We start from the raw sequence: 13168 nt of genomic DNA on the forward strand, positions 1-13168 counted from the left end.
ATGAAGGTAACAGGCCTTTGGAGCAGAGAGAACCTATAACCAAGAAATAGAGGCAACAAAAGGCTAAATGCATTTGCAAGATAATGAATAGCTCTGGCTGGGTCTCACTCCTGAGGCAAAATAGTGGGTTAAAAAGATAAATGTATGACTCAAAAGAGAAGAATTTGAACGTGTTCTAGTCAAAGATTTTTTTTTTTTTTTTGGTAGGAAGAAACAGAAACCCACTTGAGTTAACACATTTAAAAGGATTTAGTAAAATAAAATAGAGAGATTGCACAAAATTCAAGATGGGGAAAGTACAACTAGGCTCATTGAACCTTGTAGGAAATTAGGAAGTTTCAAAAGCTCTCTGTGTCTCCTGTGAGATGTTTTGTCTCTAGTTCTTGTCTTCACTTCTCCTTATTTGTCTGTTTCACCCTTCTCTTTCCCTTACTGGTTTCCTGTATTTACTTATTTTTCTGATACAGATACTCGTTTCTAATGTCTGGCGATGAGCAAAGGCAATAATTTCCAGGTCTTGTGGTACAAAGTTTCTGGGAGATACCTGAGCCAAGTCACCTGGCACTGGAAGGCAGGCATCGGGAACTTGCTGCCCACTCAGCAGATTCTGGGCTTGGTGCCTTTGGAGGGGAATTCTGGCAGGGCAGGCAGGACTGGGGACTTGTCATGCAGATGGCCTGGCTGAGTAGCTCCAGGGAAGTGGAGAGCCTAGGAAACTTTCTGAGTAGGAGTTTCCAGTTCACTTATTATTCGTAGTATTACTTTTTGCTATTTTTGCTTTGTTTCTCAGTTTTATGAACCGCTAGCAACATTGGTTCCCTCTAGAATTGTGTTAACTGTGCAAATGTGAACATCTGAAAACAATGAGTAGATGGCACCAAGGTCTCTCAGAGGCGCAATTACGTTAGATGCCCCTGATCTGGGAGTGTATATGACAGCCCCTCACTAGACTCACTACCTTCTGTTGAAAGTTCATGTCTTAAGAATTTATCTCCCTGTAAGATTGAGGGTTCTTTAAAGGCAGGGACCACATCTTAGCACCTAACATAGTGCCTGGCATGTAATAGAACCTCAATAAATGCTGGCTTCTGTTTTTTTCTGAGGACTGTATCTCTCCCAATGTACTTATACTGTATGTTAAATACATGAATCTGTACATACATTAGGAATGAAGTGCTGGTGCTCACACATGGATAAATTAGAAAATGATCAAACAATGATTCTCTGCTTGGGCTCTTTCCCTAAGAAAACAATGAGGAAAAAAATGAAAGAGGCTCTGAGAAGATTTTGGACATTGAAATCAGCAGCTTTGTATTTGAACTCCAACTTGCCATTTACTGGTCAGTTGGAAAGAGCTGGGTCAAGTTACTTAAAACATCTTAGATTCTGTTTTCTCATTTTTAAAGTGGGCATAATATGTATTATTATTTATGTACAGGCAAGTTTGTGTGAGATCAAGCACAGTGTCTAATAGGTAAGAGTTTCAATATTTATAGTTCTTGTCATTATCCTTGTTGGTCTCAGGATTTTGTGCCATTAAAAAAAAACAGTGATATAATTTTCTTATAAAACAAAATTCTGAGAAAGATGGGAGTGGGCTAGGCATTATAACATCATAATTAAGAGCAAATTTTGTTTCAAAATTGTGTCTCTAGCAAGTTAGGCCTCAATTTTCTTCTCTGTAAAATGGGGATAGTAACAACACCTGCCTTTATAAGCTTGGAGAGAATTTAACTAAAGAATGCCTGTATAGTACTTAGCAGCGTGGTGCCTGGTCCATAGAAAGTTCTCAATAAACAGTTATTATTAATAGTAGTCTCTCTCTTTCTCTCTCATATCCACACACCACTACCACTAAATCTATCAAATACCTTGTCTTTGCTTCAGCTGATTTTTATTCCATATGGACCAGTATGGTTCCACAGTGATTAATAAACAATACAGGGCAGGTGGAGAGAGAGACAGAAAGAGAGAAGTGTTTGTGTATGCATATAAGGGAGAAACATCTAAGGCTATTTCAAGATTCAAAATAACTGTTCCAGAGACCCTGGGCAAAAGCAGTGAAAAATCAAAGCAGCTAAATCCCCCCTCAATCCCAAACCAAGTGTTTACTCCTTAGCAAAACAAAGCTGCTGAAAGAGAATCAGCAGAACAAAAGCAGAGACTTGGAAAGTAACTTTGAGAGATATTGCAGAGAATTGTAAAGAAACTGTCCTTTCTAATCCCAGAGTTGCTGAAACTACAGAAAAGCTAGTAGAAATTAACCGTTTGTGTCACAGGCGGAGCACCATATGCTGCTCCCCTTCCCTGGAGAAAGAACAGCCAGCAATTGCTTCCCCATCCCCAGCAAGGCTGCTGAGCTCAGCCTGCACTCACTTGGGCTCTCTAATGAAATGCAATTGAACAAGCCAGGCCCCAGCATACTTAACCTTTGGACCACGGATGCCTACGTTTCTCTGGAGAAACAGCCAGTTGTGCTTGTCTTAGTGACTGTGATGCAACCACTGAAGGGAAAAGAAGGCTTATACCCACTACGATTTTGCAATGGCTCCAACAAAGAGCTTAAAGTATTTCAGATGCATTCAGAAATTAAACTCTGCTGGTCCTCCTGAGCCAGCATCTCTTCTGAATGCCAGAGGGACTGACAATGACAAAACCCAGACTCAACTGCTGATGCAGGCGTGGTGGTATTTGGGTTGTCTAGTCATGACAAGGCATAAACAAATCTCTTTGCCACTGTTTGCATGTGAAAAAATGGCATCTCATCAGACCACTTTCTACCCAGCTCCATTGGCAAGCTACCTCAATACCAACCCCCCGACCCCCGGAGTGGATCTTTGGGAAACTGGCCTTGAATATAGAACATGGAATTTTTTAAGAGAATAAATGTGCTCATTCTCTCTCTGGTTATACAAATATTTCTAGTCAAAGGTTGACTGACAGTAAGGGATTCAGGACAGTTGGACAAGAGGTTGGCTCCTGCTGACATCAATGAAAAGGGGCAGATCTCAGAGATGGGGTCTGACTTCGAAGGAAATGAAAAATGAGAGCTTGCTACAAAGACAGAATTTTTGTTTTAAGTAAGGTGCTTATAATACTTGCCTCTGGTGTGTACAGTGGGCCCCCACTTATCTGTGGGGGATAAATGTGTGGATGCTTCAAACTGCAGATGGTACTGAATCCTATATATATACTGTGTCAGTCACTCTGATAACTGAGATAGCTACTAAGTAACCAGAAGGTGAGTAGTGTGCACAGTATGGATACGCTGGACAAAAGGATGATCGTGTCCAGGATGGGAAGGTGTGAGATTTCACTGTGCTGTTCAGAAGGGCATGCAATTTAAAACTTGTAAATCGTTTCATTTCTGAAATTTTTTGTTTAATATTTTCTGAATGAAGTTGACTGCAGGTAACTGAAACCACAGATAAGGGGGAACTACTCTACTCTATAGATGATAAGAAAGGAACTGGATTTCTGTAACCTGGACAAGAGAAACTAAAGGGAAGAGCATGTGGCAGAGGGGCTGGAAAGAAGCAGTGGTGGAATTTTGTGACCATTTGCAAGGGAATGGAGGCTTACACATGGAGGATACTGGCCTCCACTTTGATTTGCTTTACTTCAAGTTCTGGGGTATGAGTTATAAAGAAATGGGTTCTCTGTGTAATTAAAAATGCCTAAGATTTTGCACCAGTGAGTCTGATTACGCAGAGTAAGAAAGTATTGCTCAATAAAAATTTGTTGAATTGAATGTTGCAATGGTTTGAATGAGTCCCTCAAAGTTCATGTGTTGGAAACTTAATCCCGAATGCAACAGTGTTGAAAGGTGGAACCTTTAAGCAGTGATGTGGTCATGAGGCTCTGCCGTCATGAATGGATTAAAGCAGGAGTGGGTTAGTTATCTTGGGAATGGATTCCTGATAAAAGAATGAGCTCAGCCCTCTTGCCCTCTCTCCCATGTGCTTTCTAGCCTCTCATGTTCTACTATAGGATGATACAACACAGAGGCCCTCACAAGATGGCAGCCCCTTGATCTTGGACTTCCCAGCCTCCAGAACTGTAAGAAATACATTTCTTTTCTTTATAAATGACCTAGTCTGTGGTATTTTGTTATTGTAACACAAATTGGACTGAGATAAATGCTCACATTTCCAGCCTCACATTTTTGTCACTGTGGCTGCGTAATGTGAGTCTCATTGTAACATGACTCACTGACAAACAAAATTATACACTGCTGCACCACCCACCTCAACACAATATTGCACACTGACAAAGCCTCTGATGAGGGAGTTCAGGCTGCTTGCAAACCCTACCTGTACAGGGGCCACCTTCACATCCGGTGAGTGGTAAAACAAATGAAATGATGACTGCATGACACAAAAACCTAGGTGGTCAGTCCCCAGTAGATCCCAAATAACCAGAAGATGATAACAAATTACCCTGAAAAGTGATGGATTACCTTTACTCTTGCCTTCCTGTCTTTAATAAAAATGTAATTATTTGCTTTCTCTCTCACTATGTAAATTTGGCTTAGTTAGGATTTTACCACTAGCTTCATATCACAAAACTAGGTTTTGATATGAGTAAAAAAGAAAAACTTGAAAGGAGAAAAGAGAACAGAGTGAGGACGAGGAGAAGAAGGAGTGGGGTAAGAACAACATAATTTAAATCAGAAAGCAAACAGCCTTAAGGAAGTCAGAACTACAATGAAGTTGGCTACTCACAAGCCAGAAGCCAGATTCTAGCCATCTACAAATAAAAAGGGGATTGTGGGTATGTGTACGTGTGTGTGTGTGTGTGTGTGTGTGTGTGTATGCATATGTCAGAGACAGACACAGTCATATCAGATAGCTTCAGCACATGCCAGTTCCATCACCTGCAATGGAAATTCAGCCATCTTAGAAGTTTCTTCTTTCCTTTCCCCAACATGGTATAATTTACCAGATTCTGTGATTATCTGCCTTAGCCTAGGTTACACCAAAACAAAGCCTGAGACAAGTCTTGTATACAGTGGTTTAATATGAGAGTGGACCCAGGGAGCAGTGAAAGGTATAGCAGAATCAACAGACACGGAGCAAACAGCCGAATCAAGTTTGTATTACTGAGTTGGCCACCGCTGCAAATCTTTGATCCTGTGGGATCTTTTAAAGAGTCTTGTGAAATGCATCACCATTGTCCATGCAGAGAACTCCTCCATACCATAACTCAACCATGGCCCCATGGGGATTAGAACCATCATATTTCTGGCTTGTGCACGTGAGACTGCAGAGCGGGTTCCTGGGGCATTCCATGCAGTAACATCAGGTCAAGCATGGAGTACATGGTCTTGGCTCCATGCTCTGTTTGCACCTGCCCAGAGCTAGTTGAAGTCTGTGCAGAAATGGTGATGGCCACAGTGGTCAGAGTAAAGGGTAGGGCAGGAAGAATTTGAAATAGCACAAAAGAGGTATATAACTTTTTCCCAACTGTCACTACCCTAGTTTAGGGCATTTCTTGCCTGGATAATTACAGTAACCTCCTAACTGAGCTCCCTGTGAATCTCTTTTCTTTCAAGCCCACTGTAAATATTCTACCAGAATTGTGTTTCTAAAATTCAGATCTGATTATATTCTTTCTTTCTTAAAAAGCTTCTCCTCCCTTACTCCTTTCTTATTTGTATATTTTGTGCCTTTGTATGTTTCTCGACTTCCTTTTGAAGTTCTGGTGTAACCCAAGAGGTAGTTTTCAAAATCTGTCCAATATACCTCTCTGGCCTCATTTCTCACCTTCTCCAAACAAGCATCCTTCAAACTATCCCTGATGTGTGAACCTGCAAGATGCCCTGTGATAAGAGAGCCTGCCTGCTCTTGAGTGTCTCCATGTCAACCTGCCCCAGGACCATGCAAACTCTTCAGGAGGAGCAGGCAGTTCTTTTACTCAAGGGTTCAGTTAATCAGCCTTAAAGGGCACAGAGCCTGATAATTGGGAGTTGTGGTGGTGATGGTGGTGGTGGTTGTGGTGGTGGTGGTGGTGATGGTGGTGTTTTCCTAACCTGTTCCCCTACACCAAACAAAGGTGCCCCTATTTCTAGTCCCTCATGGCAGCTCTCTCATTCTCTGCCTTGATCTCCCCTATGTCGTCTCTTTCCTGAAACTTCCTCTTTAAAATCCTTCACACGGGTGGTCTACCCCAAACTCTCCTTGGGAAAAGGAAAATATCTTGGGAAGGTCTCTTCTTGGCATGGAGTGTTGTAGGGAACGGGGTTGGGAGATGATGGGTTCCACCTGAATTTACCTAATATTAAATTATAATTTCACAATTGTGAAATAGTTAATTTTTTTCTTCTGAATATCATATGGTCTATTCTCACCTGAGAAATACTCCTCAGTTAAAACGACACTGAGCCTATTAATTGCAAAGTAATAACTATGGCTTTATATGCTAAGGGAAGAAGGTAAGCTCTATGAGGGCAGGATTTTTGTTGTTTATTAACTGTTTTATCCAGAGCACCTGGAAAAGCCCCTGACACACAGCAGGATATGCTCTTCTTTCCGGGATTTCTTTTGTTACAAAAGACCCCTTGTTTGGCAGAGAATAGATTGATTTTTGCCTTCCTTAGGTAATTCTCATGGGTGGTGAGGATTTGGAGAATGTGGAAATGGTGTCTCAATTCTTTCAATGGTTTATAATTTCTAATGATAACTTTATGAAAAACATTAAAATAAATGTAATGTGGTATTTTTTTCCCCAACGAAAACGTGAGTCCATAGAATGAACTCTTTCATCCCAAAGACAGCTTCCCAGTTTCATGTCCTGAAAGCAGTCACTATTGACAGGCTGTGTTTTTAATTTTACTGGTAACCACTCAACTTTAGAAAATATACTCGCCCTTCTGTTTCTTGTTATCATCAGCTGGAGAGAATTATTGACTATGAAAGATCAGAAAGTAACACTACATCATTGCCCACTCTCTTCCTGCTTGTCTACTGTTTTTTCTTTCATATTTTACTTTTTAAAACACTTTTTTGATCCACATTTTGGGAGCTTTTTTTGACTTTATTTTTTTGAGTATCTAAATTATTTTGAGGTATTTTTTGGGGTCCGCTGTATTCAGCATATTCCTGTCCACTTTTTAAACTTCTTAGAACTTTTAATTTCCTGTTTTGGACTGGTTGCTCCTTTTTTTTTTTTTTTTTTTTTTTTTGAGACGGAGTCTCACTCTTTCGCCCAAGCTGGACTGCAGTGGCGCTATCCCGGCTCACTGCAAGCTCCGCCTCTTGGGTTCATGCCATTCTCCTGCCTCAGCCTCCCGAGTAGCTGGGATTACAGGCGCCCGCCACCACGCCCGGCTAATTTTTTTTTTTTGTATTTTTAGTAGAGACGGGGTTTCACCGTGTTAGCCAGGATGGTCTCGATCTCCTGACCTCGTGATCCGCCCGCCTCGGCCTCCCAAAGTGCTGGGATTACAGGCGTGAGCCACCGCGCCCGGCCTGGTTGCTCCTTTTTACATAGTATTCTGTTCTTATTTAATTGATGCAACATCTTGAATATCTGAGGATTTTAATTAAAATGTTTTGAAAAGGTTCTTTCTGTTCCCTGGATTATCTCTGTTTCCTTTGTGATTTTAGTCCTTTTCTTTATATGCTGTTTGTTTTCTTCCAATATCTATTGATAATTTTCAGTTTATCTTTATGAGCAAGGGTTATGCCATCAGCTATACTTTTTCTGCAACTGTATAGATCCTTGGATTAAAGAGCTACTTCTAGGCTCTTTATAAGTAGGTTTTCCTCCAGAAGGCAGTTTGGGGGTTCCTACCTACACTTGCAAAGGAGGATGGCTTTTTTTTTTGGTGGCAGAGAACTTAGGAAGACAGTATTTCACTTAAGGGCAGAGTTGCCTTTCGTTGTAATTTCTCAACTTGCTCCTCCTCTTCCCCCTAAACACACTATTGTATGTCTGTGTGGGAGGTTCAAGAACTACCTAAAGCCCTAGTTTTCTTTTCTGATACTCTCACAAGGTGAATTTTCCAGGAAGATTTTCCTTAGACAACCATTTCCTTAGACATATTTATTTATATTTATATTTATTTATATTCATATAAATTTATATATTATATATTATATCTAATTATATATTTATATGTAAAATATACCTTGTAAATAAATACATTATTTATAATATATATTTATATATTATATTTATATATAAATTTATATTTACATAAATTTATTAAATTTATATAAATTATCTATTTATATATTTATATATAATATATATTATATAATATTATATATTATATATAATATAATATATATAAATATATATAATATATATTATATATATTTTCCTTAGACAACCATTTCCTTAGAAATACTTTCCTTAGACAACCATTATTCATTTTTGTTTCAGTGAAACATTTAAAGGATGGAAATAGATGTGAACATTAAGTCTTACATTATATACCACATTTTTCTTTTACTGTATGTAGGTGTTAGAGTGATTAATAAAACACACATTTGTTCAAAAACCTTACTAAACATGTAGTAAATTTTGCTGTTATGTGCATTCTCAATTGGTGGACGCTAAAGCTACAACTGTTTTCACGTAGAGGTTAAAAATACTCTTTGGTGTTAAAATTTCTCAACAAGGAACCTCTTAGTTACACTGTCAACCATCTGGGGGTGACTCCTGGAATATGATGCATGCTTGATGCCTTCATGATGCCTTCTTCATTTCAAATGCCCATCTAACCTCTTCTACTTGCAAAATCCTACTGTTTTGAAGGTCTAGCTCAATGATCAATTTCTTTGTAAAGTTTCTCCCCATGCTGTGATACAGAATTAATTGCACTATCTTCATTATTCTCTGAGCACTCTGTCCATCCCTCTAGCATAGCAATTACCACATTATATGATTGTTGTTTACATTCTCTCTCATTCACTGCACTCTATTCTTACTTATCTTTTCACTTTTTAAATTTCAAATACCCAATGCAGAATTAATACTTGTTGGCTTATATTGAATTGCAGATTTTTCTCTTATTATTATTAATGGTTGTCTCTGACTGTACATAAGCAAAGCAAGGCCATAAACTGAATGGCTTGTCTTTAACCTTACCTCTATGAAGCCTTCTAGGGGAGAGCAGTCATTCCAACCACCATTCCTGGTGTTTTCTAAAATTGTGCAGGAGAAGGTTCCTGCTTTTGTGTTTCTGCGGAGATTATTATTTCTCCTTACAAGGACTTGCTATAAAAAGAGTAAAGACTCCATTTTGAAAGATCTTTAAGAATAAATGAGAGAGAAAATGTAAATAATCTTCAATGAAGGTAAGAGTTACGGAGGAGAGAGGAGACTATGTCTCTTGCCAGAATTTCCCTTAGGGCAGAACTTGTGTTCACCATTGGCTTTGTATTATTTGTTCATTCATCCATTTACTGAATATATATTTAGGGAGTGCCTATGGTGTGCCAGACATTGCTTCAGTCCTAAGGAAAATGCTAAATATGGTAGAAGAGGTCTCTGTCTTTATGTAGTTTACAATCCCCTGGGCATTTCACCAGGTTGCCAAGTGACTCATGTGGAAGTCAACCCAGTGGCATGTCAATAGATAATTAGTCAATGGTGTTTGTCAGGTATTTCTTATGTGTTCATATCAGTGCTAAGCTTTGTAGGTAGATCCTTTCTGTAAAGAATTTAGAATGTAAAAATTAGTAGAGTCCTGTACAAAATGGCATAAAGAGTCATCAAATCAGATGGTTCATAATACAAGGACATTAGCAGTTCAGAGAGTCTTAGGATCAGTTTGTCTGGAAGTACGATAGATGGGCATACCAGAGGCCTTTGGATGATCCCCTGAAGCCCTTTTCCCCTGCTCCCTCTACCTCCAGTGCCTAGCATGCATACTTGCCTAATGAAAGAGTTTTAAAATGTTTGCTGTGGTTGAAAGCCTATGCAACTGTATGTGGATCCAGGTCCACAGCCAAGTTTCACAGGAAGCGTTAATGAACTTGAGGCCTAAAGAATAAGGAGTAAATAGATTGTGATGGGGCACAAGAGGATTCCAGATAGACCAAGAACATGTGTGGAGGCCTAGAGGAGGCAGAGAGCAGGGATTTCAAGGGCTCTATTCTGTCAGTATGGCAGGAGCATAGAGAAGACAGTATGGGAGTGTCAGGAGATGAAGCTGGAAACACGGAAGTGAAATCATGTAGGATTTTGTTACCCTGCTGATGTTATATAATAGAGGTCCTCTGCCTGCATAATGCCCAATCATGGTGTGACACTCTCTATGACTTTGACGTGTTGTTATAAATTCATTTTTGATTTTAGGTTTTGCTAACATACACATTTACAGACATCCACGCAAATACACATGCAAAGTTTTATGAAAGAGCGCTTGACATGATCCCTTTTGTGCAGACTATGAAGTCCTCCAATGACAAAAATTGACAATTCAGGGGTGAATGATTACTTTGTAATGTCGACAAAAGAGTAAAGCCACAAGGTCTTAAGACAAAATGAATCTGTTGAAGGAGAGGGAAAATGGTTAAGTATGAAGACAAAGCTCAAGAAAAGATTATTATGGAAGATAAGAAATAGTACTCAGTATAAAAATTACCCTTGATGTGTGACTCAGCTCCAGCATATAGTGAGTTCTATTCTTGTGTCTGTCACAGGAGGAATCTAGATAGGACCTCATCCTCGTCTTCTACTAAGATTGCAAAAAGGAGATGAGCTATCCTATTTCTTCTTGCAAAATAACAGAGCTTGCCTGGGAAGAGTATATTAATGGGCCAATTACAGCTCCATACTTAAATATGCAGACAGCTTTCAATTACTGGAATGGAGAGAGATGAGAATGTAAAAAAAAAAAAAAAAAAAAGGAAAGAAAGCCTAACGACAGACAATCCAAAAGTCACTGAATCTTGGCTTTTGAATGAATTGCATTGTTTTCTTGCAGCAGCAGATTTGTGTTCCTAATTATGCCTTGCTTAAGCTAATATTAAAATGAGTTTGCATTCCCAGAGAAAGCACACACCAGCTGGGGAAAGAAAAGAGAGGGTCCAAAAACTTGGTGAGTGATGGGATAGGGGTAGTCATAAAGGAAGGGGTCTAGGGCTAAATATTTGCTATAATAATAAAATATAGCCCTCCTAGCTCTTCCCAAATCACATCAATATGTTGTAGCACACAAATACACACACACACACATGAAAATTTATTATTGCTAAATCAAGAAACCGAATAAAAGCAAGCACAACTTTACATATAATGTAGAAAATAATTTCTTGTTTAAGATTATCTTGCATTTCAAAAACCAAATTGTCTTTGTTATAATATAGTGGTGGGGGGAATCACACTTAAAAGCTGTGTGACCTCTGTGAAATTTAAACTTTAATTATCACTTAACCTATGAAAACTCTGCCAATATTATAACAGTAAGTCCCTTCAGAACCATAATTCAATTTCTGCCCGTGGGTTATATGGATAAATACTGTAAGAGGGGAAAATCAATTATGTGAACATTTAAGTGAGCCATAAAATCCAGGATTCCTTCTGGAGATGAGAGTTCCTAAATGTTATTTGAGAATTCCAGGATTATGTCAAAAGAATAATTATACCACCTTACTCTAGAGATAACTAAGGTTGATGACCATGCCTGGTAAGTGAGAATCTGAAAAAGTACAATCATAGTCACGGAATTTATACTGACAGAGAATATTAGAGAGCAAAGAGGCTGATAGAAGTAGCCGCTAAGATTTACTGAGTATTTACTATGGGGTATGCATGGCTTTAGTCCAACCCTTTCTGTTAGAAGTAAGGAAATTGAGGTCTGTGGAGGTAAAAAGACGTAGCCAAGCTGCCCAATTAGGAATGGCCAGAGGCAGAACTAGAACTCAAGATTTCTGACTCTTACTCCAGGGCTTTCCTTCTACTCCAGACTCTTTCTGTGAGCTAGAAGATCCTATCAATCAATCACACCTGCAGACTTTTTTTTTTTTTTTTCCATCACATAAATGTGCTGGGTACAGTGGAAAAAGCATGGACTTTAGACTCCAACCTCGATTTGATCACTTGCTTCTTACTAGAAAGTCTGACCTCCTGAAGGACTGCTGTGTTTCTCCGCCACTTCCTGGAATAAAGTCCAACATCCTTGCTTGGTCTGCAAGGCTGGCGCTGGTGGCTGAGGCTGTACTAATCTCACCAGCTTCACCTTATGATAGTTCCACCTCTGGCCTCTGCTCTACCTGTCCTGGCATGTTTTCCCTTCTTTGAAAGGCCATGCTTCCTTCTGCTGTTGGGGCTCCGTGGTGCTGGTGTGGGGAGTGCTCATTTGCCCCCCTCCTGAGTAATTCCTCGGGTCTCAACTTCAATCTCGCTTCCTCCGGGAGGTCTTCTTGGATCTCCAGATTGGGTTGGCTCCCTCTGCTACTTGTTCTCACAGCATTTTCACTTTCCCTACCATAATTAATTAATTACTTGTGTGGTTGTTGAATTGACACTCCCCTACAAGGATGCAAGCTTTGTGAGGCAGGGACAGGGTCTTTATTGTACATTTTAGTGTCCCCAGTACTGAGGTCCCTAGGAGGCACTTAAATATATGAATGAAGGAACCCACCTCGAACCTCAGTTTTTTTCTTCTATAAAGTAGATATAACAAGCACTGGGGATTGTCAGTGTTAAAAGGCATATTTATTTAAGGTATCCTGTTCAGCACTAGCAGCAGCATAGAACTTGATAAATGTGATTTCCATTTTATGCACCTTCTTCCTTCCAAGACAGTGCTCTGAGGCACCATGACTGCTGAAACATCTTAAAAAAAAAAAGAAAAGGAATTACCTTCTGCATAGTTTAGGTACAAAGTGTATTTTATGAATTCTGTGTCCTTGCATCCTGGTTGCCCACTGATGGTATATGTGGCAGCTTCCCATGAAACAGTGTATTTGATAAAACAGGGCACCTCACTTCCCAGCTGGACAGGATAGCACAGCGCTTACTGTAGGCATCATTCTATCATTCTTTTGGGGTCAGAACATGAAGCTAATCACCCTGCTGAATATGGAACAGATGAAAGGGGCGCAGCTGCTTTTCTCAGCTGGTGAGCTGCTGGAGCTTGAACCAGTGTGGTTTTCAGGTGTCTTTTTCCCCCAAAACCCAGACAGAGTGACAAGGAGGTGGCTCGGATTTG

General features: G+C 39.6%; 1 annotated feature.

The window, feature by feature from the left end:
- Nucleotides 489-783: a silencer, noted in NCBI's record as "tiled region #282; K562 Repressive non-DNase unmatched - State 24:Quies". NCBI's record gives its function as "represses a minimal TATA promoter and a strong SV40 promoter by Sharpr-MPRA in K562 cells {active_cell/tissue: K562}" and the evidence as "EXISTENCE:reporter gene assay evidence [ECO:0000049][PMID:27701403]".

This window comes from Homo sapiens, chromosome 11, assembly GCF_000001405.40.
Source record: "Homo sapiens chromosome 11, GRCh38.p14 Primary Assembly".
NCBI lineage: Eukaryota > Metazoa > Chordata > Mammalia > Primates > Hominidae > Homo > Homo sapiens.